This window comes from Homo sapiens, chromosome 2 (assembly GCF_000001405.40).
Source record: "Homo sapiens chromosome 2, GRCh38.p14 Primary Assembly".
In the NCBI taxonomy this organism is placed as follows: Eukaryota; Metazoa; Chordata; class Mammalia; order Primates; family Hominidae; genus Homo; species Homo sapiens.
In genome coordinates this window covers 4,624,891-4,652,650 of record NC_000002.12, presented here as the reverse complement: position 1 = coordinate 4,652,650, position 27,760 = coordinate 4,624,891, and the positions used below count along the sequence as shown (strand labels likewise).

The window sequence follows — 27,760 nt, the reverse complement described above, 5'->3', positions numbered from 1 at the left end:
ATATTTAGAATTTGATCTTGGATTAGAAATCCCTTGGGTACTGATAGAAAATAAAATCCAATCCTTTCATTTTCCAGGTAGCAACTGCCTCATCTTTTCCATCTATGGAGTGTGGAATATGTGCCCTACTTCATTCAGGTGTGAAAATAAAATGAGATAACAAATATCTGATGGTTGGAAACAAGTAAGGTGTCAATGAATGTTGATTTTATTATAACCAAGAATAATTAAAATATTTTGAGCTGCTTCCTATAGCTAGTCATTTGCCTGCAATTTTTAGTGTGCTCATTAGTTCATAAAGCAATTTCTGGATGGAAGGGAGGGATGTGGTAATTGTGTTTAAGTACATAGGAGATTTTAACTTAAGAGAAAGTTTGTAAAGGAGCCACAGAAACAGGGTACTGTAGACAGAAGATAGCCAAGGAGATAGAGTGATGGAAAAGAACTAGGTAGGACCCTTCTTCAGGGAACATGTATATTGCTTCAGTCACTCCAGGACTAATGAGGAGCCAAAAACTCTCTAGAGCGAAGCCGAAGTAAATTACAGATATAAATTAGAATATGTTAAATAGTCTAGCAACAGCAAATGAAGGTTACCTGCTGGCATTAGGTCACATAACACTCCCTTATTTACTGCTGGTGCTAGTCCCCATTGGCATGGTAGAAGCCAGGACTTCTGCACCTGAACCTTTTCCTCCCCCTTAAAAAATGAGTCAGTCCAGTACATAAACCAATCGACTTAAAATTTACATAGTTACTAAAAAGATCTGAGAATGTTTAGACTTGTATTAGTTTTTAAGTGAAGTTGGTTTCTCATTTCTTAAAACAGTCCAGAGACTTGAGGCAATAAATGACTCTCAGCTTCTCCTATTCATGAGTCCATCTTGTCACACTTATCTCATGAGAAAAAAACTAGAAAGAGGCAGAAATGAGAAAAAATGACTTCCTCGGGCAATTCGAAGGCAGAAAAGTTGTTTGAGAATTATCCTCATTATCTTCCTGACCACCTCACATACCCTGTAGGTGGAAAGATTTAATTCTTCACTACTTCTTAGACTGATGGGACTGAAGTGTAATGTTTCTTGTTCAAAGTCATAGTTCACTGGATGTTTTTCAAACAGGAATGTTGGACAAACCAGCTATTTAGAGAGTGAAGGAGAGGAACTTCCGAGAGCAACCGGCCCCCAAGAGAAACCCAGGGACTCCTGCCCTTCGGCAGCTTTGTCCATGTGCTGCTCACACCAAAAAGCACTCGAGGGTGACCTGCACCAAAAATGCATTGCCGTAGTCTGGGCACAGTGGATCACGCCTGTAATCCCAGCTCTTTGGGAGGCCAAGGTAGGTGGATCATCTGAAGTCAGGAGTTCGAGACCAGCCTGGCCAACATGATGAAATCCTGTCTCTATTAAAAATACCAAAATTATCCCAGCGTGGTGGCAGACGCTTGTAATTCCAGCTACTTGGGAGGCTGAAGCATGAGAATCTCTTGAACCCAGGAGGCAGGGGTTGCAGTGAGTCAAGATTGTGCCACTACATTCCAGCCTGGGCAACACAGTGAGACTCTGTCTTAAAAAAAAAAAAAAAAAAAAAGCATTGCAGTTTGCAGTTTGGTGTGGTGTAAGGAACAATTTGCACGTCCTGTCCAAACTGCCTGTCTGCCTCTGCCTTCGGAGATGCTTCCTCCTGTTCTATATCCAGGTTATTATTCACTGCAAATTACATCTGTAAGATAAATAGAAGAGAAGCACACACCATTAAATAAATGTCTATTTTTATACAGTAATACACCAAAAGTAGTATGTATGTTTTCTGTATATTTTCTAATGAAGGATCTCAGGAAGGCTTGTGTGGGATTCTAATCCGAAAGGTAACTGACAAACAATGGCCATATGCCTGCACACAAACGTCTACTCATCAGTCACTCCTAGTTCCTGTAAGAGCATTCTCACATGTGTGTGAGCCCTATGGGATCAGTTCTTCTTGACCAACTTGCAGCAGCAGATTTCAATGAGCACATGTTTAGTTTTACTTTAATTTGCTCTTTCATTCATCACTCATTCATTCCTGCATTGACCCAAATAACCATAGATTCCTCTGTGCACTGAGTAATTTGCATGGTTCTGAGGATTTGATTATGAATTGAAGTTAGTCTCTACCTATTCAGAAGAGAGGAAAGTATACTAAATTCAGTAGAATATGATGTTTTCAGCAATAATAAATAAAACAAGTGTATCACAAGATATTCTGTGATTCCTATGAAGAATAACTTTCTTTGAATAGGAAAGAGGAAGCAGGGAACTCCTGGCCGAGGGAGTAGCTTGTGCAGAATCACAGAGAAAGGAGACCCACTGGGGAGCACATTCATGAGATGCATGAAGATTGAAGGACTTTATAAGATTTAGTATAAAATTCTTTTTCTCTGGGCTTTTACATTCTTTGTAGTATAACATGCTACTATACATTTCCTGAACATCTATTCATCATATTTAAAATGTGTTTACATAACTTACAGCATTAGTGTATTTGGGAGTAATAGTCTAGTACCTCTTTAGGTAAGTAGAATTTTGCAAAACTAAGATTATAATCAATGAATAACACTGACTGTCATTTTCTTTTCTAAGAATCAAACTGAACCATGTGCCCAAGTCGACCCCCAGAGTGGCTTAGCAAGGAAAACCTTATTTGAGTCCAGTTGAAGACTCCGTGGTTGGCTGCCCCAACATCCATTCCCAATCCCCTTGTTTCTGATACCCAAACAGAGCTCCTGCCAAGCTAAGTACACATTCCCGAGGCATCCACTGAGGGAGGTACTGGTGGTAATGATGGTGATAGGGCTACAAAACATTGGTTTGCTGACTAAATCAACAAAAATTAGGCAAATCACCTCCAACCTCTTTCCCCATTCCTCCTACTTCCTACTGTGAATATTAATTAACAACATGACATCAATATAGGCTGCCCTATCTTGCAACGGTGATGGAAAGGACAAGAGAGCTGCAAAGCCATCTGTTTTGAAATTCCAAAGCTGGTAGCTGCAGGCACATCCCCGGAATTCTCGCTTTGTGAGAAGTAGACACATTTGTTTATAAGTCACATTAATTTGGGTTTCTGTTCCTTGTATTCAAATGCAGTATTAACCAGTATTTATTCTTCATTTATAAGAATACCTCTATTACACACCATAGACCATTATAATAATTTTATGCAGAACAGAGCAGAAGTGGTATTCCAATACTGAACTGGCACCACCTTCTCTGTGACGGTACATTTTAGGTCACTTTTCTGAAGTTCTGACTGTCACTCTTTTATCTGAGTTCCTACTGGAAACCTATCACCACTTCCTCTCCAGTCTACCCTCATTTTAGCCATGTTCTTGTTCTTAGGAACATAGCTGTCTCACTAGAGATCCTATCACAATTCTGTGTATACAGTAAGTGTCATGTCCCTGAGATTAAACAGATGAAATAGATGTTTGTTCTCTTGGGAAGAAGAGCAACATTTTGAATTGAAGCTGGATTTTATTGCTTTTATTTATTCTGTTCATAGTTTGTTAAATCTGTATGGTGGTACGTAATGGTACCCAAACTACTTCCTTTGTTCTATTAAATTTTAGCAATATTTATTGATTGATTGCTTATTGTGTGTTAGCCAATGGGAGTTACAAAAATAGAAATGATGTAGCTTCTTTTTTTTTTTAATTATACTTTAAGTTTTAGGGTATATGTGCACAATGTGCAGGTTAGTTACATATGTATACATGTGCCATGCTGGTGCGCTGCACCCACTAACTCGTCATCTAGCATTAGGTATATCTCCCGATGCTATCCTTCCCCCCTCCCCCCACCCCACAACAGTCCCCAGAGTGTGATATTCCCCTTCCTGTGTCCATGTGATCTCATTGCTCAATTCCCACCTATGAGTGAGAATACGCGGTGTTTGGTTTTTTGTTCTTGCGATAGTTTACTGAGAATGATGATTTCCAATTTCAGCCATGTCCCTACAAAGGACATGAACTCATCATTTTTTATGGCTGCATAGTATTCCATGGTGTATATGTGCCACATTTTCTTAATCCAGTCTATCATTGTTGGACATTTGGGTTGGTTCCAAGTCTTTGCTATTGTGAATAATGCCGCAATAAACATATGTGTGCATGTGTCTATATAGCAGCATGATTTATAGTCCTTTGGGTATATACCCAGTAATGGGACGGCTGAGTCAAATGGTATTTCTAGTTCTAGATCCCTGAGGAATCGCCACACTGACTTCCACAATGGTTGAACTAGTTTACAGTCCCACCAACAGTGTAAAACTGTTCCTATTTCTCCACATCCTCTCCAGCACCTGTTGTTTCCTGACTTTTTAATGATTGCCATTCTAACTGGTGTGAGATGGTATCTCATTGTGGTTTTGATTTGCATTTCTCTGATGGCCAGTGACGATGAGCATTTTTTCATGTGTTTTTTGGCTGCATAAATGTCTTCTTTTGAGAAGTGTCTGTTCATGTCCTTTGCCCACTTTTTGATGGGGTTGTTTGTTTTTTTCTTGTAAATTTGTTTGAGTTCATTGTAGATTCTGGATATTAGCCCTTTGTCAGATGAGTAGGTTGTGAAAATTTTCTCCCATTTTGTAGGTTGCCTGTTCACTCTGATGGTAGTTTCTTTTGCTGTGCAGAAGCTCTTTAGTTTAATTAGATCCCATTTGTCAATTTTGTCTTTTCTTGCCATTGCTTTTGGTGTTTTAGACATGAAGTCCTTGCCCATGCCTATGTCCTGAATGGTAATGCCTAGGTTTTCTTCTAGGGTTTTTATGGTTTTAGGTCTAACGTTTAAGTCTTTAATCCATCTTGAATTGATTTTCGTATAAGGTGTAAGGAAGGGATCCAGTTTCAGCTTTCTACATATGGCTAGCCAGTTTTCCCAGCACCATTTATTAAATAGGGAATCCTTTCCCCATGGCTTGTTTTTCTCAGGTTTGTCAAAGATCAGATAGTTGTAGATATGCAGCGTTATTTCTGAGGGCTCTGTTCTGTTCCATTGATCTATATCTCTGTTTTGGTACCAGTACCATGCTGTTTTGGTTACTGTAGCCTTGTAGTATAGTTTGAAGTCAGGTAGTGTGATGCCTCCAGCTTTGTTCTTTTGGCTTAGGATTCACTTGGCGATGCGGGCTCTTTTTTGGTTCCATATGAACTTTAAAGTAGTTTTTTCCAATTCTGTGAAGAAAGTCATTGGTAGCTTGATGGGGATGGCATGGCCATTTTCACGATATTGATTCTTCCTACCCATGAGCATGGAATGTTCTTCCATTTGTTTGTATCCTCTTTTATTTCCTTGAGCAGTGGTTTGTAGTTCTCCTTGAAGAGGTCCTTCACATCCCTTGTAAGTTGGATTCCTAGGTATTTTATTCTCTTTGAAGCAATTGTGAATGGGAGTTCACTCATGATTTGACTCTCTGTTTGTCTGTTGTTGGTGTATAAGAATGCTTGTGATTTTTGTACATTGATTTTGTATCCTGAGACTTTGCTGAAGTTGCTTATCAGCTTAAGGAGATTTTGGGCTGAGACGATGGGGTTTTCTAGATATACAATCATGTCGTCTGCAAACAGGGACAATTTGACTTCCTCTTTTCCTAATTGAATACCCTTTATTTCCTTCTCCTGCCTGATTGCTCTGGCCAGAACTTCCAACACTATATTGAATAGGAGTGGTGAGAGAGGGCATCCCTGTCTTGTGCCAGTTTTCAAGGTAATGCTTCCAGTTTTTGCCCATTCAGTATGATATTGGCTGTGGGTTTGTCATAGATAGCTCTTATTATTTTGAAATACATCCCATCAATACCTAATTTATTGAGAGATTTTAGCATGAAGGGTTGTTGAATTTTGTCAAAGGCCTTTTCTGCATCTATTGAGATAATCATGTGGTTTTTGTCTTTGGCTCTGTTTATATGCTGGATTACATTTATTGGTTTGCGTAGATTGAACCAGCCTTGTATCCCAGGGATGAAGCCCACTTGATCATGGTGGATAAGCTTTTTGATGTGCTGCTGGATTCGTTTTGCCAATATTTTATTGAGGATTTTTGCATCAATGTTCATCAAGGATATTGGTCTAAAATTCTCTTTTTTGGTTGTCTCTGCCCGGCTTTGGTATCAGAATGATGCTGGCCTCATAAAATGAGTTAGGGAGGATTCCCTCTTTTTCTATTGATTGGAATAGTTTCAGAAGGAACGGTACCAGTTCCTCCTTGTACCTCTGGTAGAATTCGGCTGTGAATCCATCTGGTCCTGGACTCTTTTTGGTTGGTAAGCTATTGATTATTGCCACAATTTCAGCTCCTGTTATTGGTCTATTCAGAGATTCAACTTCTTCCTGGTTTAGTCTTGGGAGAGTATATTTGTCCAGGAATTTATCCATTTCTTCTAGATTTTCCAGTTTATTTGCGTAGAGGTGTTTGTAGTATTCTCTGATGGTAGTTTTTATTTCTGTGGGATCGGTGGTGATATCCCCTTTATCATTTTTTATTGCATCGATTTGATTCTTCTCTTTTTTCTTTATTAGTCTTGCTAGCGGTCTATCAATTTTGTTGATCCTTTCAAAAAACCAGCTCCTGGATTCATTAATTTTTTGAAGGGTTTTTTGTGTCTCTATTTCCTTCAGTTCTGGTCTGATTTTAGTTATTTCTTGCCTTCTGCTAGCTTTTGAATGTGTTTACTCTTGCTTTTCTAGTTCTTTTAATTGTGATGTTAGGGTGTCAATTTTGGATCTTTCCTGCTTTCTCTTGTGGGCATTTAGTGCTATAAATTTCCCTCTACACACTGCTTTGAATGCGTCCCAGAGATTCTGGTATGTTGTGTCTTTGTTCTCATTGGTTTCAAAGAACATCTTTATTTCTGCCTTCATTTCGTTATGTACCCAGTAGTCATTCAGGAGCAGGTTGTTCAGTTTCCATGTAGTTGAGCGGTTTTGAGTGAGATTCTTAATCCTGAGTTCTAGTTTGATTGCACTGTGGTCTGAGAGACAGTTTGTTATAATTTCTGTTCTTTTACATTTGCTGAGGAGAGCTTTACTTCCCAGTATGTGGTCAATTTTGGAATAGATGTGGTGTGGTGCTAAAAAAAATGTATATGCTGTTGATTTGGGGTGGAGAGTTCTGTAGATGTCTATTAGGTCCGCTTGGTGCAGAGCTGAGTTCAATTCCTGGGTATCCTTGTTGACTTTCTGTCTCATTGATCTGTCTAATGTTGACAGTGGGGTGTTAAAGTCTCCCATTATTAATGCGTGGGAGTCTAAGTCTCTTTGTAGGTCACTCAGGACTTGCTTTATGAATCTGGGTGCTCCTGTATTGGGTGCATATACATTTAGGATAGTTAGCTCTTCTTGTTGAATTGATCCCTTTACCATTATGTAATGGCCTTCTTTGTCTCTTTTGATCTTTGTTGGTTTAAAGTCTGTTTTATCAGAGACTAGGATTGCAACCCCTGCCTTTTTTTGTTTTCCATTGGCTTGGCAGATCTTCCTCCATCCTTTTATTTTGAGCCGATGTGTGTCTCTGCACGTGAGATGGGTTTCCTGAATACAGCACACTGATGGGTATTGACTCTTTATCCAATTTGCCAGTCTGTGTCTTTTAATTGGAGCATTTAGTCCATTTACATTTAAGGTTAATATTGTTATGTGTGAATTTGATCCTGTCATTATGATGTTAGCTGGTGATTTTGCTCGTTAGTTGATGCAGTTTCTTCCTAGTCTTGATGGTCTTTACATTTTGGCATGATTTTGCAGTGGCTGGTACCGGTTGTTCCTTTCCATGTTTAGTGCTTCCTTCAGGAGCTCTTGTAAGGCAGGCCTGATGGTGACAAAATCTCTCAGCATTTGCTTGTCTGTAAAGTATTTTATTTCTCCTTCACTTACGAAGCTTAGTTTGGCTGGATATGAAATTCTGGGTTGAAAATTCTTTTCTTTAAGAATGTTGAATATTGACCCCCACTCTCTTCTGGCTTGTAGGGTTTCTGCCAAGAGATCCACTGTTAGTCTGATGGGCTTCCCTTTGAGGGTAACCCGACCTTTCTCTCTGGCTGCCCTTAACATTTTTTCCTTCATTTCAACTTTGGTGAATCTGACAATTATGTGTCTTGGAGTTGCTCTTCTCGAGGAGTATCTTTGTGGCGTTCTCTGTATTTCCTGAATCTGAACGTTGGCCTGCCTTGCTAGATTGAGGAAGTTCTCCTGGATAATATCCTGCAGAGTGTTTTCCAACTTGGTTCCATTCTCCCCATCACTTTCAGGTACACCAATCAGACGTAGATTTGGTCTTTTCACATAGTCCCATATTTCTTGGAGGCTTTGCTCATTTCTTTTTATTCTTTTTTCTCTAAACTTCCCTTCTCACTTCATTTCATTTATTTCATCTTCCATCGCTGATACCCTTTCTTCCAGTTGATCGCATCGGCTCCTGAGGCTTCTGCATTCTTCATGTAGTTCTCGAGCCTTGGTTTTCAGCTCCATCAGCTCCTTTAAGCACTTCTCTGTATTGGTTATTCTAGTTATACATTCTTCTAAATTTTTTTCAAAGTTTTCAACTTCTTTGCCTTTGGTTTGAATGTCCTCCCGTAGCTCGGAGTAATTTGATCGTCTGAAGCCTTCTTCTCTCAGCTCGTCAAAGTCATTCTCCATCCAGCTTTGTTCCGTTGCTGGTGAGGAACTGCGTTCCTTTGGAGGAGGAGAGGCGCTCTGCTTTTTAGAGTTTCCAGTTTTTCTGTTCTGTTTTTTCCCCATCTTTGTGGTTTTATCTACTTTTGGTCTTTGATGATGGTGATGTACAGATGGATTTTTGGTGTGGATGTCCTTTCTGTTTGTTAGTTTTCCTTCTAACAGAGAGGACCCTCAGCTGCAGGTCTGTTGGAATACCCTGCTGTGTGAGGTGTCAGTGTGCCCCTGCTGGGGGGTACCTCCCAGTCAGGCTGCTCGGGGGTCAGGGGTCAGGGACCCACTTGAGGAGGCAGTCTGCCCGTTCTCAGATCTCCAGCTGCGTGCTGGGAGAACCACTGCTCTCTTCAAAGCTGTCAGACAGGGACATTTAAGTCTGCAGAGGTTACTGCTGTCTTTTTGTTTGTCTGTGCCCTGCCCCCAGAGGTGGAGCCTACAGAGGCAGGCAGGCCTCCTTGAGCTGTGGTGGGCTCCACCCAGTTGGAGCTTCCCAGCTGCTTTGTTTACCTCAGCAAGCCTGGGCAATGGCGGGCGCCCCTCCCCCAGCCTCGCTGCCGCCTTGCAGTTTGATCTCAGACTGCTGTGCTGGCAATCAGCAAGACTCCGTGGGCGTGGGACCCTCCGAGCCAGGTGCGGGATATAGTCTCGCGGTGCGCCGTTTTTTAAGCCCGTCGGAAAAGCGCAATATTCGGGTGGGAGTGACTCGATTTTCCAGGTGCCTCCGTCACCCCTTTCTTTGACTCGGAAAGGGAACTCCCTGACCCCTTGCGCTTCCCAAGTGAGGCAATGCCTCACCCTGCTTCGGCTCGCCCCTGGTGCGCGCACCCACTGACCTGCGCCCACTGTCTGGCACTCCCTAGTGAGATGAACCCGGTACCTCAGATGGAAATGCAGAAATCACCCGTCTTCTGCGTCGCTCACGCTGGGAGCTGTAGACCGGAGCTGTTCCTATTCGGCCATCTTGGCTCCTCCACCAGAAATGATGTAGCTTCTATCAGGAATCTGGTAGCAATGCAAAGCTAAGGTAAAGGGGCCTGATGAATGCTAAGGTGTTTTTTACATTGTTGCATAACTTGATTCACTCTAGTACAAATGTAAGATAATTGTGATAAGCAATCTATTACCTTACGACTAGATTGCTAAGATAATTTAATATGTAAATAATCTGTAGTATGAAATTCAAATATAATTTTTTAAGCAGGATACATATGACTTGGTCTTAATCCTATACATGATTTTAGAGTATGTCATTTTTACATCATTATCTATAAAAATGAATATAAGTTCGAGTCCTTAGAAACAGCACAAAGGCATTGAATTGAATTGAATTGAATTGAATCAAATTGAATTGAATTGAATTAACAAAGGGAATCTAATAAACTGTTCAACATCCCTGCATTTATTCTCAAAATACACATGGAGAAAGCTATACATTCAGCTGTATTCCTAGCAGTGAGAAGAAGTGGAAGAGAAAAATAGAATGTGGGTCCTATTTTTCACAGCTTACAATCTTTTGGGGGAGATATGGCACACACTAAAGAGATGTCTTCCATATTTGAGGAGAAAGCATGTAGTTCTCTTATGACATGAGGTCTAGTGTCTAGTTTAAATCAGGGATCTTCTGAAATATTATGTTTCAGAAAACTTAGTTTAACTTGAGCAAAAGACAAATGCAATACAGATAAGTTACATTAGGAATAAAGTCTGGCTGTATATTTATTCATTCACTTATCCATTCAGCCTTTACCAAGATGTTGAGGGGGAGTTTTCTTGTGGTCCATGTGTTGTGACTAAAGATACAAAAAGAAAGGGGAAAAAAAGTAACTCCAAATGTTTAGGAGTGCCACCATGGATCTGCGAAATTTCAAGTTCATGTATCTCCTCCCCACACAGAGCTGAGCTGTGTCTCCCCCAGACCCGATCCAGTGTGTCGTCTCTAGGACAGCAGTGGGAGGGAGGCATCTGTGAACACCAACCTTATGCAAAGTGCAGTTCCCTGTGTGGGAAAGCGAGAACTCTTCCCCCCTCTGAAGCCACATGAGTATAAATCTGACAGCAAAGCTTCCGAATGATTGAGGAAAAGGCAGCCAGTGAAGAAAGTGGAGTAAGACCCCTTAGCAGAGATGAGCACGTGTCCGCTGAAGAGAGAGGAGATAGAAGTATGGAGACAGCTTTCCACTTGTCCGTGGGAGATGGCTGAGGTGGGAGGCCTCTGCAGGAGCTCATGCAGCAAGACCATCACCCAGTGTTTCTGAGCAAAGACGGGATGACCCTCTCTCCACTCACCCCTGCAGCCTTTAGAGAGTGCTGAAGGGATTCCAGAATTTCTATTTTTTCTCTTTCACAAGAAGAACCATGGGAATTAATAGAGGGGCAAGATATGGGGCCTTGCAAATTCAATCTCCATCTCTGAAGAGAGCATGGGATTGTGTACCAGGGGAGTGGGGCCAACAAGGAAAGTACCTTCAATTCTGGAATGGTCATCAGTGATGGGTGGGACCAAGCTGAAGGTGGCAACTTCCTGAAAGAAGCCACAGCCACATAGGCATCACCCACAAGCTGGACAGAACTAGAGCAGTAGCGAGATTTCTTTCCTTCCTAGTATCTGGTCAGCCATGTGAAGAGGATCTCATCCCCATCTCTGTCCCCCATTCCTCCTAATGACAGTGTTATAGGAAAGATGAGGAGGCATCTTAAAGTGAGACCTCCTTCCCCAACTCCAAGCTGCAGGGATCAGAGCAGAAGCCTACACTGGGGGTGGGGTAAAATCAGATACGAGACTAAATTTTTAAAAGTTTCAGAAATACAAACGGAGAGAAATTTACGGACTCTGCCCAGTGATAACAATTGGAAAAACACATGCAGTATTTCAGTTGAAAGCTATCATTAGAAAAGAAATAAGTATATAATCACGAGATGATGTGTTCTGTATAAATTCATAAGATATTCTGAGTATTAGCTGCAAGCTGACATTATCTAGGTTCTAAGTGTATAAAGATGAACTCCCTGGGCCCTTGTCCTCTGCAGCTGTAATCATGGCATGCAGATGGACAATGGCTATGCAGTTTGGTGAGTGTGCCATGAGGTAGATACTAGGAGGATGTTTCTTTGGGTGAGGAGTTGGTAGGGTCGGAGATAAATGATAGAGAATTATATTTTATAATAAGTGCTTATTTTGACTTAATTAACTTCCCAGAACCAGCTCATGCTATCTCTAAGAATAATGTTAAACAAAGACCATAAAATGCTGGAAGAATTAAAGTATCATATTAATGACTTAATGATTACTCTAAGTGTGGTTTGTATGTGGCTGTAGTAACTTGTATCTTAGATCTTTCTCTAGGGAAGTTCCAATTAAGGAATGGGTCATCACTGGGATGAGTTTTTCACCAAGAAAAGGAATGTGGTGAAACAAAAACTTTTACAATGGTCTCAATATTACTTTGTTAATTTCTTTCTCACCATGTGTGTTTCTAATTGTTTGGCATTTATTCAGTAAATATTTATGCAGAGTCAACAGTATATTTGGATATTGTGAGAAAGATAAAAGCCAATGTATAAGATTGTCCTTGTAATTCAAGAGCTAAAAAAAATCTCCAGGAGGCACAGCCTATATAGATAGAACTGTTAAATAATATTGAGAGGTAGCATGATATTAAATCCCTAAATGAAAAGACAGGATAATAGATTCTAAACATAGATGTTAAATTTTTAAGACATTACCTTTCTTGTAATAATGAAGAAAAATACTTTTCCTTGTTCATAATAATGGATCTGACTGGTCCATAAACTGGTAATTTTCTTCTGCCACAATTGGCTTTAAGCTTCTTTAAAAATATTTTATGCAAGATGTATTTTGAAGATGTAATAATGAAATACTATATATGTCACCATAGAAGTTTATTGACCATAATTACTTTGAGTTTTTCTATTCTTTTACCCACATTGTCATCTTTTATTCAAAGAGGACAAGGTGCCATAGTGTTTGGTGATCATTCTTGACAATGATTTACTAGAATTAATGAAGTCTAAGGATGTTTAGGGATGCCACCTCTGAGGGGCCAGTTTACAAAACAGTGCCCCCAATGCCTCTTGGCAATGCCAGAGTGAAATAAAATATGTAGGGTTTGTATTCTCTAAGTCTGCATTTTCATATATCCCAGACTCTGCCCTCTGATATATATGCTGCTTTATAACATTTGAAAGTACTAAAGTATAAAATAAAACCTCGCTTACAACAGTGGTTAGTTCACCTGAACAGGTACAAGCAGAAACTCACCTCTGTCCAACATTATCTAGACAGGCAGATTCTACAGTGGTAACTTCTAGATACTGAAATACAGCATTTTTTTAAAAAAATAAAATATTTTATATTTACCAGGTAATATATAGGTCACATATATGTTTGTCGTAAAGCAGGATATTTTAATGTAGCATTGTATTTATAAGGTTTAAATGAAACATAATCATTACCAAATATAGAATTCCACTCAGAAGGAGATAAAAACCAAGACCAAAACAGGAGAAATCGCTGAAGTGAGTCTGTATTAACATTTCTCGCCACATTTATCTTTACTCCATTAGAGCAGAGAATGTTTTTGCCGCAGAATTTTTACTAATTCCAATTATTATTTCTAAACATTAGTGTGACTCAATTATTCTGAAAAATTTGCTTTCAAAGTTTGTGAATTCTCAATGATCAAAACACATTAACATACAAATAATCTTAGCATTCTTAACACTTCCCAAAGTAAGGTGATTATTTTTTCATACCTGAGTAAATCCTAAAAAAAAAAGAATACCACAAATATGGGGCCAGATATTTGTAAAATGTAATGTTTCATCACAAAATGCAGACTTTCCTAGCTGGAGGTACTCTTAGGACTGAAGAATGATATAACTCATTTTGTAAAAATTTACTTTGCCACCTCAGTGCATAGCCAGTACCTCCAGTAGGGGAGCAACTTTCTACTCAGATGATCAAAGTGTTTGGATTAGGGCCTCTCCAAGAATTTGAAATAAAGGGTAAAGCTGGGAGTCAGGATCCCAGAATTTAAGCAAGAACTCAGGGTAAAAGGAAGGTGTGGATGTCAAGAACACACAAAGGAACCAGGGAGAGAGGAGTTTGACTCTGGCCTTTCCTGAGTGACATCATCCCAGCTGCTTGAGCTCTCTGAGACACCTGTACAATAGGGATGCCAACACTTACCCCACAGGGCTGCCCTCAGGATGAAGGAGCCACCGCACATGATGTGCTTAAGTGCAGTGACTGTGAATGATGGCTTTCACGGTGAGTGCCTGGGGAGTGTTGCTATCCTGCATTCTGGACCAGCCAAGCTGCAGTCACCTGGCAGTCTGAAGTGTGAGGACCTGTGGGTTCCGTGTGTGTCTGCTGGTTACCAGGCCCAAGCCTGCTAATATTTCAGAACCCTGGAAAGAGCTTGGGGTTTGGGCCCTGACGTTTAATTTTGATTATACTTTCCTCTAATTAGGTCAAAAGTTCCTTATCTGGAAAATGGGAATAATAATAAGTTTTACCATTTTTACTAAGATTCAAAATAATATATGCAAAACCCCTGACAGAGGGGCTAGCCCTTGGCCCTTAACGCAGTTGGCCAGTTGCTGTGATTATCATATCCCTTAGCCCAGGGACTGGCCTGGCTAAGCCTAAGTGTTTTTTTGTTTGTTTTGTTGTTGTTTGTTTTAATTATTTTTTCTTTTACTTTAAGTCCCGGGGAACATGTGCAGAACATGCAGGTTTGTTACATAGGTATATGTGTGTCATGGTGGTTTGCTGCACCTATCAACCAGTCACCTAGGTTTTTAGCCTCACATGCATTAGCTATTTGTCCTGATGCTTTCCTTCCCCTTGTCCCCCACCCCCCAACAGGCCCTGGTGTGTGTTGTTCCCCTCCCTGTGTCCATGTTTTCTCATTGTTCAACTCCCACTTATGAGTGAGAACATGTGAAGTTTTGTTTTCTGTTCCTGTGTTACTTTGCTGAAGATAATGGCTTCATACATGTTCCTGCAAAGGACATGATCTAATTCCTTTTTATGACTGCATAGTATTCCATGGTATATATGTACCACATTTTCTGTATTCAGTCTATCATTGATGGGCATTTGGGTTGGTTCCATGTCTTTGCTATTGTGAATAGTGCTGCAATAAATATACATGTACATGTATCTTTATAATATAATAATTTATATTCCTTTGAATATATACCCAGTAATGGGATTGCTGGGTCAAATGGTGTTTCTGGTTCTAGATCCTTGAGGAATCACCACACTGTCTTCCCCAATGGTTGAACTAATTTACATTCCCACCAACAGTGTAAAAGCGTTACTATTTCTCCACAGCCTCGCCAGCATCTGTTGTTTCTTGACTTTTTAATAGTAGCTATTCTGACAAGCATTAGATGCTATCTCATTGTGGTTTTGCTTTCATTTCTCTAATGATCAGTGATATTGAGCTTTTCTTCATGTTTGTTGGCAGGATAAATGTCTTCTTTTGAGAAGTATCTGTTCTATCCTTTGCCCACTTTTTGATGGGGTTGTTTGTTTTTTTTCTTCTAAATTTGTTTAAGTTCCTTGTAAATTCCCAATATTAGACCTTTGTCAGACGAGTAGATTGCAAAAGTTTTCTTCCATTCTTTAGGTTGCCTGTTTGCTCTGATGATAGTTTCTTTTTAAGCCTGCTCTTTGAAGGTATCCACACCCACATCTGAGACAATTTGACAACAAGAGAACTTAAAACAAAGTTGACACATTCTACTCCATATTCTTTCCAAATGGTAATAGTCAATCTGAATTATTCTTGAAAGGTATCACAATCTGATTATGGCATTAATATTTATAAATCAAAGCCCACATTTTCATTCTGGAACTCAAATGCTAGCTGGCGTTAAGATGATGAAATAGATAATTAGTGTGATTTTGCAAACCAAACTTGTTTGTCTTTTAAAAATATACATTGTGTTGTTTCTAAAAACAATCGACATTGTATCTTCAATCTAATGTAGCCATCGTTAAGGTTTAGAAATGGTGGAAATAATTATAGAAGGGAACCTGAATTATTACTGAACTAAATGCAGAATGGCCATTGAAATGGGAACAACATGAAGGAGGGAGGCTGAGTGGGGTAGATTACAAATGAAAATTGGAAGAATGGTTATTAGTGTCATAAAATGGACAAAACTGTCAGGATAAAAGCCAACCACTGGCTGACAACAAGTGCTGTGTCATATCTGGGAAATCAGCGGGAGACTTTCAGAGGGTGTCAGAGTTAAATACATATGGTGGCAAAAAGAAGGGAAACCTATAGCCAGTCAGGTGCACCCACAGGAAAAGAACCAACAGGAGATGCTCTAAATGTCAGCCCTGCTGCAGTCCTCCTGTAATTATGCTAGTGTGTGCATTCTGGGCTTAGACATAAATGTTTGGTTCAATTTCTAGTCCCAAGAGTATTTCTCTCACCAGGTCCTTTGCGTGTATGACTGGTTAATAATGCCTATCTTATGGGTGGTTGTGGAAATTCAGTGTAATTAGTACTAAGGAACAGGTGCAGTCACTGACATGTGGCAGGTCGCTTCTATAGCATACATGATACACTCCAAAAGTGAAGACTAGGTGTTTTTACCCTATGCCCTTCCAAAAAATCTGTAAACAAAAATACTCCAATATTTCTGGACAAGGTATGGTTTTATCAGTGAGAATAGCCAATATCTCTTTTGACCTATTCAAAAAGAATGTGTGAAAATTAATGAAATGCAGATCTTCAAACTTTTATAGAAATTTTAATTAGTATTTAAAAACTATATATTTGTAAACTCAAGAAATTACTCTTGTAATTTTTAAGCAAATAAACAGGCCACTGTTTACATATAGTACTAAAATTTTAATTTATAAAAATATGAACTGTTGTCAATATTAAATATTCTGTAATGACACAGTCCCACTAGCTTGACGTGGTCATTTCATTTATCTATGTCTTTTAATACTTAGATCACACATACACATGTTGTTAAATACCAACAGTAAAGTATATGTGCTTATGTTGTGTTTTTCTTGTCTTATTTAACACTATATTATTTCTTAGAATCCACGAAGAAACAGACAATTGCAGGGAGTAACAAAATTAAGTGAAACAATATAGTTTAAGGTATGACCCAAATAAAAGAAAATATACCATTATATTAATTAATATAATGCTCACATTTATAATTATGATGATAATTACAATGGTATTTGAGTTTCCCAGCCTTGTTTCTTTTTCTTTATTATCAAAATTTTATTAGTATTTTAAGGAGTACCCAGATGAGGTCAGCACAAATCTAGGAAGTAAAATCAGAGAGAGGGCCTGTATTTACTTTTTATAGCTCGAAGGCAAATAAGCCGTGTTATCCTGGTGGAGAGGCAGTCAGACGTTACAGGCCATGACCTAGCTATAAAGAGTTTTGAATGCCATCAATAAATCACTCCCTAATTAACCTCCCAAACAGCAAAGTGCAAAAGAGCTGGCGAAGTTTAGATAAAATCACCTTTAAAAATATGTACAATCATAGCTATTTTGAGAAAGTTTGGTATGTTTAGCAATATTTGCTGAAGTAGTCCCAGTGTTCAACTAAATAGAGTGACCAACAAAACATTTTGAAATATGTTTGTATGAATAATTATATTGCTATATTTACATATGTAAATTTTACTATACCAGAAAATGCCTCATTTACTTCCTCTCAATATTTCTACCGTAGTTTTACTTTGGCTAATTCATGGTCAAGGAAAAGTAAAATGTGGCAAATTCCATGAAATACAGAATTGTTCAATGATCATTATTAATTTTTTTAATGAACTGAACTTTATAATTCTTTTTGTCTCAACCAGAGAAGTTAGAACACTTGAAATTAGCTAAGCGAGAATGCCATCAGCAGTGCATCGATCTCAGCTGCATCCAGGTGTATCAGTTGAATGGCAGAGGGACTAGAAATTACATTTCACGAAGAAAATTTACAGAACTAAAGATATTTAGGCTGCAAAAGAAAAGACTAAGGTAAGCCTGTGGGCAGGTTAAGGTTTAAAACACTAAGAGTTCACCTGTAGACTAATGCTTAGAAAGAGAAGACAAGAAAAATGAGGAACGGAATACAGAGAAACAAATCTTGGCTTATTTTAAATCCTTTTCAGAGAACAGTATACAAGCATGGTGAAGAGTGAAATCTCTACTGCTAAACTACAGAGGTATCCGATACAGGTTCTTAAGTGCTGAGGGACTTTGCATAAATTACTGATGCTGTGGTTTTGGTTTTCTCCAGTGTAAATAGTGTTGAATACAGTATCCATAAAATACCTGAACAGGTTGAGAAAGGAAATGTGTATAAAGTGGTTAAAAAGAGACTGACGCAAAGTAAGTGCTCTATAAAAATTGCCTGTAAAAAATAAGACTACCACAAATAATGCTGTCTTTTTTAATGTATTTATTAAATATATGTGGTACTAAATAAATGCACATATACATAAATATGTTTTAAAACACATATAATATGCCAAAATACATATTATTTTAAAATAAACAAATATTGATGATGTGGTTTGGCTGTGTTCCCACCCATATTGCATCAACAATTGTAATCCAAATTGTAATCCCCGTGTGTCAAGGGAGGGACCTGGTGGGAGGTGATTGGATCATGGAGGAGATTACTCCATGCTGTTCTTACAGTGCATAAGTCCTTATGAAATGTGATGCTTTTATAAGGCAGTTTTCCCTGCTCTTGCTCGCTCTCTCTCTCACCTGCTGCCGTGTAAGACATGCCTGCTTCTCCTTCTGCTATGACTGTAAGTTTCCTGAGGCCTCACCAGCCATGCAGAACTGTGAGTCAATTAAACCTCTTTTCTTTATAGGCTACCCAGTCTCTGGCCACTCTTTATAGCAGTGTGAAAAAGGAGTAATACAATTGATATTAGCGTAATGTATTGACATTGTAGAAATTTGAAAATATAGAAACATATAGAAAAGAAAAATCACCTCTAATCTTACTATTGTTATCTAAATGTGCTTTATTCTAATTGACTTGATGAATTGAGATCACAGGGCATACGAAGTTCTACATTTTGATATTTTTCACTTAGCATGATCTTTTGAGATCATAATTTTAATAGCTGTTTGGTATTCATTAGTACAAATATAACAGCAGGAGTCATGTTAATGGCTGTTGCATTGTGGACTATTCTCTAGTTCTTTATGTTATACCATGAGTATCACTTTTCATTATTTCTATAGGAATACTTCCTGGAAGTGAAATTGGTAAGTCAAAGATGTGAATAATTTTATGACATTTTACCTACATAGTCAATTTTACACTGTAGCCATTCTAGTATGTGCGTAGTGGTATTTCATGGGAAATTTAATTTGTGTTTCTTTAATGAGTAATAATATTAAATATCTTTTCAAGTATTTGTTTGCCATGCATATACATTCTTTGGTGACATATCCATTCATTCTTTGGCCATATGTCTTTCCAATCTTTTGATCATGTTTCTGAGAAGCTTATGACTTTATGATTATTGAATTTATGACTTTGTGATTATTATGACTTTGTTACTATTGAGTTGTGATTGTTGTTTATATAAGAGACACAATTTCTTTGTTTTGCAAGTTTCCTCAAAGCCTATAGTTTGCATTTTCAGTTTTAAAGAGGTTTTGAAGAATAATTATTTTTAATTTTGATCAAGTCAATTTAGGAATTTTAAAATATAATTTATTCTTTTTGTCTTGTAGTTAAGAAATCTCAGCCAAACACAGCATCACTAAGATTTTACAGTTTTTATTTTTAAAATATTTTATAGATTTCAGGATAAGATCTTGATTTTTTTCTAAGATTTATCCCTAAATATAGTCTACTTCTGATACTATACTATATGGCATTTTAAAGTTTCAGATTGCTGGCCAGGCGTGGTGACTCACACCTGTAATCCCAGCACTTTGGGAGGCAGAGGCGGGCGGATCACGAGGTCAGGAGATCGAGGCCATCCTGGCTACCATGGTGAAACCCCGTCTCTACTAAAAATACAAAAAATTAGCCGGGCGTAGTGGCGGGCGCCTGTAGTCCCAGCTACTTGGGAGGCTGAGGCAGGAGAATGGCATGAACCCGGGAGGCGGAGCTTGCAGTGAGCCTAGATTGTGCCACTGCACTCCAGCCTGGGCGACAGAGCGAGACTCCGTCTCAAAAAAAAAAAAAAAAAAAAATTCAGATTGCTTTTGACTGTCTATAGAAAGATAATTGATTTGTGTTAGTTCATCTTGTGCTATGTGAGTGTGCTACACTTATTAGTTCTAGTAGCTTTGTGTCAAATTTTATAGCATTTTTAATGTAGATGATGATGTCATCTGCCAATAAAGGCAGAACTGTTTCTCTATTTCCACTTGGATGTCTTTTTTTTTTTCTTTTTACATTTCTTGCCTTGCTTCCCTGGCTAGAACCTCCAGTACAATGTTGAACAGAAGTAGTGCAAGCGGACATCCTAAATTTGTTTCTCTTCTGGGGAAATCTGTTGTTTTTTACCAATATGCACATATTGATCTTCTTCTAGACTCTATATTCTGCACATTGATCTAGTCATCTATCATTTTGTTAATAACACTGTCTTTATTACCATATACTTAATTGTCTTAAGTAGTGTTTCTTTTTGTCTCCAAATTTGTCTGCTTTTACAAAATTGTTTTGGTTAGTTAATAGCCTATGCATTTTCATTATTTGTTATAGAATCAGCTCGTTAATTTCTATAAATAAAAAGCTGCAATGATTTTCATTGTAATCACATTTAACCTATTGATCAATATGCAATCAACTGACACATTAACTAAAAAAAAGACACTTCTCCATTTCTGTGGGACCCCTTCAATCTCTGTCACCAATATTTGATATTTTTCAGTGTATGGGTCTTAAACATGTTTGGTAAAACTATAGTAAGTTTTACCAAACCTAATATCTTTGTTGCTATTGTAAATGTTGTTTATTATTTCAGTTTCTAGTCAGTTGCTGCTCATCATAATACATAATACATAAATGCATACAATACATTATTGGATATCAATCTTATATCATACAAGATCATTTCTTACCCCATCTATGTGTTCTAGTAATTTTCTGTGGATCCTAGAGGATTTTCTACCTAGATAACCGTGTCATCTTGAATAAAGACAACTTCACATCTTCTTTTAAAATCTAGATGCCTTTCATTATTTTCGTCGGTTTATCAAGCCTCCAGTACATTGTTACTTGTTCTTTATCTTAGAGAAAAAACATTCAGTCTTTTACTATTAAGTGTGATGTTAGCTGTTACTTGTAGGCTTTTTGTAAATGCCTTTATTAGGTTCAGGATGTTCCTTTCTCTCCCTTGTTTGCCGTGACTTTTTTTTTTTAAGGAAATGGATATTGTATTTCTCAAAACTTCTTCTGCATCTATGCAGAAAATAATGATTTTTTTAAAGTCTATTATTGTGATAAATTACATTTGATTTTCATGTGCAAACTAACTCTGCATTCCTTGAATAGACACTACTTCATCATAGTGTATTATTCATTTTATACATTATTGGATGCTACTTGCAAATATTTTGTTAGAAATAATTATATCTATGTTCATGAGAGACATGCGTCCGTAGGATGGAGCCCAAAAATGCCCTCCCAGTTCCAGCCTCTACTGCAGGTTAAACCACTGCCATTTACAAGGAGAGATGGTACGTTTTGAATGTTCTTATTTTCATAAATTCAAAATTCCCTCTTCCCTGCGCCAGCAAATCTCACCCAGTGCAATTCTTTCAATATTAACACTCCTCCAACTTTGCCTGCTATTGAAATGTATCCAATGTCTTCAAATAGTTGTATTGTGTGTGTGTGCACGTGCACACGTGTACACTTAAAGATTTTAACTCTTTGTCCAAGGTTAAAATTATCTTTGTCTTGTACAATTGCACTATTAACAAAAGCAGAATCACTATTTTATTTTATTTTATTTTTTGAGATGGAGTCTTCCACTGTCGCCCAGGCTAGAGTGCAACGGCGCAATCTCAGCTCACTGCAACCTCCACCACCCAGGTCCAAATTATTCTCCTGCCTCAGCCTCCTGAGTAGCTGAGATTACAGGAGCCCACCACCATGCCTGGTTAATTTTGTATTTTTAGTAGAGACAGGGTTTCACCATGTTGGTCAGGCTGGTCTCAAACTCCTGACCTCAGGTGATCTGTCCGACTCGGCCTCCCGAAGTCCTGGGATTACAGGTGTGAGCCACTGCACCCAGCCCAGAACCACTATTTTAAAACAACAAATACTGTTTCTTTTTAGTTTATGGAAAGTTATTCAGTTAAATTTTCTTTTAGATTAGGGTTTCTTCATGGAAAATAAATTTTCTAAAATTAAGGCTAAAGTAGATTAAATAATTTTAGAAGAACCAATTGCCACTTATGAAATCCTTCAAGGAATATAATGACTATTCTTCTAATAATTGGATTCAGTTTGACTTATTTATTTAATATTCACTCTGTTCTCTTTTTCAGGCACTGTGCTAAGTTGGACTTACAGAGATGAATAAGATTTGGCCACATCTTCAAGGAGCTCAGACCTTCATGGACGTACCAAATATATACAGAACTAACTCTACTGCTTATCATAATGAGAGCTGTGCTATGGATATTTGAAAGTTAGAGAGATTTATTTTCAACAGAATAATAAAGTCAACTTTCACAAACTGGTGACAGATGATCTGGGCCTTGCAGACAGGGGAGGACTGACAGATTGAGAAGAGTATTTGGTTAAAAACGGATCATAAACTGGTATAAATATCTAAACAAACTCATGAGAATGAGCAGAGTCAGACACAATAAAATAATTCAAAGATATATCAGATAAACCTGGACCCAAAAGTCATGACTTTTTCTTTTCAGTTAACTCTGAACAATTTACAATAACTTCCTCAATTATTGTTTGTCTCATTTTAACATTTTGTAATAACACCTATGTCTCCATATTGGTATGAAGATTAAATGAAAATACATCTATGTTAGATAGTCCCTAAGTTTCTGTCCCTGATATAAGTCCACCCTCCCCACCATCATGTGATCACACGCAGGTGCACATGCACAGATGTATACATGCATGCCGTTATGGGGACAGTAATTGCAAATATCAATACTGTTATGGTTGTTACTTCAGCCATTGCACAAGTGTAGACCTCTGGATCAACACACATACGTATGTGTATGTGTAACAAATATATGGCTAATAATGCATAGGTTTCATAGCTATACCTTGAAATCAATTTATTAAAGGGATGTGTCCTTCCCATGCTGACTCACCTACTGCGGCCCAAAAGCAACAACGTAAACTGCCCTGGATAAAACATCTGCAGACAAGAGATCTCTAAGCTAAGCTACAGCTTCATCAAGCATGGAGTTATCTCATTTCATAGCTTCACACACACAAAGGCGCGCGCACACACACACACACACACACACAGCTCTCAGCTGGAGACCGTCAGGGAAAACAAGTACCAGTGAGACCTGGGGATCTTCATTTGATTTTGTCTACTGGGTGAGGCTGTGTTGAAAACACTTTGACAGAGGGCTCTTCTCTTGGGGCTCATCAAATATTGCTGGTAGAGGGTTTGCTTGCTTTAAATATTCCTTTCCTCAGGTAACGAAGAATACCATGTAATTTGTAATGATAACTTGGATAATGAATGCACACTGTAGTCAGCCATTACCAGTGGTAATTGGTCTTCCTTTCATCTCCTGTCAAGCAGAGTGGTTAGGATTAGGACCAAAAGGCAGCTATCATCTCTCTCATTTCCTGACTCAGACAAAAGGCAAAAAAAAAAAGGTGCCTGCTTGTGCTGATAGGTGTCTGATCAAAGCGGCTGAAAGCTGTCAGAAGCCAGCCAGCCTCAGCACCTGACTACTCCTTAATGCAGCTTTGCCTTTGATGTACAGGCAGTCCAACCGGGGTTCTATTTATGTAAAAAAAAATAATCAGGATTGTAATAGAACAGGAGAAAGTGTCATTTTCTATTTTGATTCCAGTTTTGCAGTCTGACACCTATAGGAAATGTGGACTAATTCTGTCCAGAGTATGGTGTGTGTGTGTGTGTGTGTGTGTGTGTGTGTGTGTGTGTGTGTAACTCAATAAAATAAAATATCTTTGAAACTTCATCAAATACATTTGGCAGTGAGCAGAAGTTAGATTGCTGGTAGAAAGAAATTATCCTTCTTGGAAAGTAAAAAAAAAATGCTTAAGTAAAATTGCAGCAGTTTTGACATGTGTATTTTATGTTTCAGAAATTCTACAGGTTATAGGTTTATAAATGGAGAACTGGTCTTGGATTTAAATGAATTGGCATCGTATCTCAGACTTCTAGCTTTCTACCCATGTGAATTTAGGTGCGTACTAATCACATATGTGTTTTAAGTTTATCACTGGCTATATACATGGTTACTTTTGTATATGCCTGTGCATTGAATGAAAATACCTGGCATGTGGTTGTTATAAGCAATAGACAGTTTTTGGCCAGAGAGCCAGGCAGACAAGTGTTAATATCACTTAAGCCCTCTGTGTCTCAAGTTCAAAATTTCTAAAATGAGTGAATATAATATTTGTTTGAATTAAAGTATACAAAGCATGTATCTCAGTGTCTAAGACATTGTAAGACACCAATAAATGTCCAGTATTTCTGTTGTTGTTGGTATTTATTTTTTATTAAGGGATTCTTGAATTAATACACCATCCCTAGGGAATTGCTGCCCTGTTTTCCTCAGCACTGTGAGCTTCTCCACGAACAAGACCGCTGTCTTTTATGTCTGGGATAGTTTGTTGAATGAGTATATGAATAAATAAATGTGTGCAGGAACTGGTGAAATCTTACTTGGGAAACCAGAATGCTACAGGGATGTTTTTGGGTAAAGCTGTATTTGTGTCTTGATTATCATAATTGCTAGTGGTTTATCTGAACTGAGCCTGAGTATATACACACACAAACCCACATATGTAGACACACATTCATATACATAAACCATACATGCTCATGCACCTTCTCCTCCTCCTCTTTTCCCTCTTCCTCTTGGTTTTTCTCCTCCTTCTTCATCATCCTCCTTCTCCTTCTTCTTTCAAAAAGTTGTGTATTCTAAATATTAATGTGAAATCTCACTCCTCGATCTCATCAATATTTTTAAAATAAGGTAAACGCAGTTCAAGAGCCAAATTTAAAAATCCTAAGGTGTATGCAGGTCACAAACTACTCATTCTCTGTGACCTCAGCCTGATTCTAAGATATCGACCTTGATGGAACCAGTGGAGAGTGAGAACAAATAAATGAATGTATTGCCATCTCAAAACCTATCTTCTACACTAGGGAACAAAAACAAGGACTTAGAAACCATTTAAACTTGTCAGGTAATTGCCCCTGTTCAAGACAGTCATAAAATGTAAACAGTGCTTCTTACCCTCATTTCTCCATCATGGAATGGAAAGGGTAGTGGGACACTTGAAGACCCTCCAATTGGCCATCAGCTCTGCTGTTTTCCTTTTTCTTCTGCAAAACAAAGGTGAAGTCATCACGTACTTAGGTCTCCTGGTGACTTTATTTGTGTTGTTTCAGTTACACTTCAATTACTCCAGTTTATCAAACAGTTATTTCTATTGTTCTCTACTTTGTGTGGTATACTTTATAAGATGCGAAAGGTAATAATAAAAGATATGTGACTCTCTAGATCCCCCCAAAGGAAAGGCTCTGAATTTAGTAGAGACCTAACGTGTATGTGTGTGTATGTGTCTACGTGTGTGTGTGTCAGAATAAATATGTGCTATAAAAGTGAGGATAAGTGAATAATATACACCTAAAACAATTCCCCCTGTCATCTGGTAACACAGTCTGCATTTTCTTTGCAAAGTAAGCTCCCGGTGCTGGTTACATTATGTCAACTTAGCTGAGCCCAGGTATCTAGATATTTGGTTAAACATTATTCTGGAGCTCTGCATGGTGGCTCACGCCTGTAATCCCAGCACTTTGGGAGGCCGAGGCGGGTGGAGGTCAGGAGTTCGAGACCAGTTTAGAAAACATGCTGAAACCTGGTCACTACTAAAAGTACAAAAATTAGCTGGGTGTGATGGTGGGCGCCTGTAATCTCAGCCACTTGGGAGGGTGAGGAATGAGAATCACTTGAGACCAGGAGACGGAGTTTGCCATGAGCTTAGATCGCACCACTGCACTCCAGCCTGGGTGACAGAGTGAGACTCTGTCAAAAAACAAACAAACAAACATTATTCTGGATGTTTCTCTGAGAGTGTTTTTGGATGAGATTTACACTTAAATTTGTGGATTTTGAGTAAAGCAAATTTCTCTCCCTAATGTGGTGGGCCTCATCCAGTCAGTTGAGGGCCTGAGTAGAACAAAAGACTAATCTCCGCTGAGCAAAGAGAAAATCTGCCAGGAGCCAGTCTCTGAGCTTCAACTGCAACATCAGCTGTTCCTGCGTCTCCAACCTGCTGGCAGACCCCCCAGTCTCCATAATCACATCAGACTATTCCTAAAAATCTCTCTCTCTCTTTCTCTCTCTGTATGCGCCAGCACACACACACACACACACACACACACACACACCCTCTTGCTTCTGTTCTCTGGACAGCCATGACTGAGGGACTCCATATTTTGAGATCTCGTGAACTGTTGCTGTCTCTCCTGCCCCCTCTCAGCCCACGGAGGGCCTGTGTCTTCCCTGAGGCTTGATCCTTGGTCCCTGGTGTGGACAGAAGTTTCTTTTGTCCCCTGAGTTTCTGAATTTTAAGGCAATGGTGCCTGAAGAATTATTACCTGGCTGCCGGGTGAAAGCCAAATGCAGTGAGAAGAAGGAGCAAAGCCAAACAAGGAGGCAGGGGTAAGAGATGGAGAGAGAAAGGTTTCTTGAGCTCAGATTCCAACAGGGTCTAAAGCCAGCCATCCTCCTGTTTCCCAGTTACGGGAGACAAATATTTCCTTTTTTTGTTTAAGTGTATTTGGGTTTGGTTTCTGTTGCCTTAAATGTTAATAAATAGTGTTAAGGAGGTTTTATAAAGGAAGATACCCTATGCTCAGGAAATTCAAAAAGGAAAAGGGGTATGATGATTAAGATTAAAGGACAGGTCTGTAAACTGGCACCCTACTTAGAGGCTCTCAAACACCACGTTGAATAACTTTTTACATTTTCTGGCCATCGGGAGGCAGAGAGGGACTGGCATCCCAAAGTGACATCATCAGACTCATGGTTCAGAAAGCTTAAATTTGAGGCAATCGAGAGATTATTTGGAGGAGAAAGACCAAAGTGACTCTTTGTAACTAGTTTAAGTTTTCCTTAATTGTTTTTGCAAAGATAGGACATTTACAGGTGAAAGTCTAAATCATGCAAAATTGATGTCAGAATTTTCTTGAAACTTTCTTAGAGTATACTCCCTAGAATTCTACTGGTTTTCACCCCACCCCAAACCCCAGGGTCAAGAAGCTCTGTTTTGAACCCACCGTTCCCTTTTCCTACCTTCCCATTCTTTTCTTCTAAAGGAGTCCATACCATTGTCTACCTACCTATCTATCCATCAATCTTTCTATCCATCCATCCATCTATCCATCCACCCAACCATCCATCTACATATATGCAAATTATACACACACACACACACACAGAGAGAGGAAAGAGAGAGAGAGAGAAAGAGCGAGAGAGAGAGAGAACAGTTTTGCTTACAAATAGCCCCTAGCTTTCAATTAACTCATTCTCACTAGAGATATTTCAATCAATCTAATTGTTTGGGTAATTATTTCAGAATTAATTATTTTGTCTAATTTAATACTAATATCTTGAGAAGTTTTTTTTTAAAGAATACCTCATGAAACATAAATTATTCTAGAGAAAAAAAGTACTAGGCTGTTATCTCAGTTACTAAATTTCCATTGGTGTTTTATAACTAATAAAGCCTGATCTGCATATCCAAAAAAAAACCTTAGTTTTGGAGATATTTACCATGACAACTTATTTGCTA

The 27,760-nt window shown here is 38.5% G+C and overlaps 1 long non-coding RNA gene across 1 annotated transcript in view; it reads left to right on the top strand.

The window, feature by feature from the left end:
* The window catches only part of LINC01249 (long intergenic non-protein coding RNA 1249), a 28,005-nt gene extending 3,572 nt beyond the window's left edge, over positions 1 to 24,433 (top strand). The window contains exons 2-5 of the long non-coding RNA NR_034134.1: positions 78 to 138; positions 1,122 to 1,338; positions 17,592 to 17,757; positions 22,261 to 24,433. This is a non-coding gene — a long non-coding RNA (long intergenic non-protein coding RNA 1249). The remainder of the gene's footprint in view (positions 1 to 77; positions 139 to 1,121; positions 1,339 to 17,591; positions 17,758 to 22,260) is intronic.
* Positions 24,434 to 27,760: the final 3,327 nt, after the last annotated feature.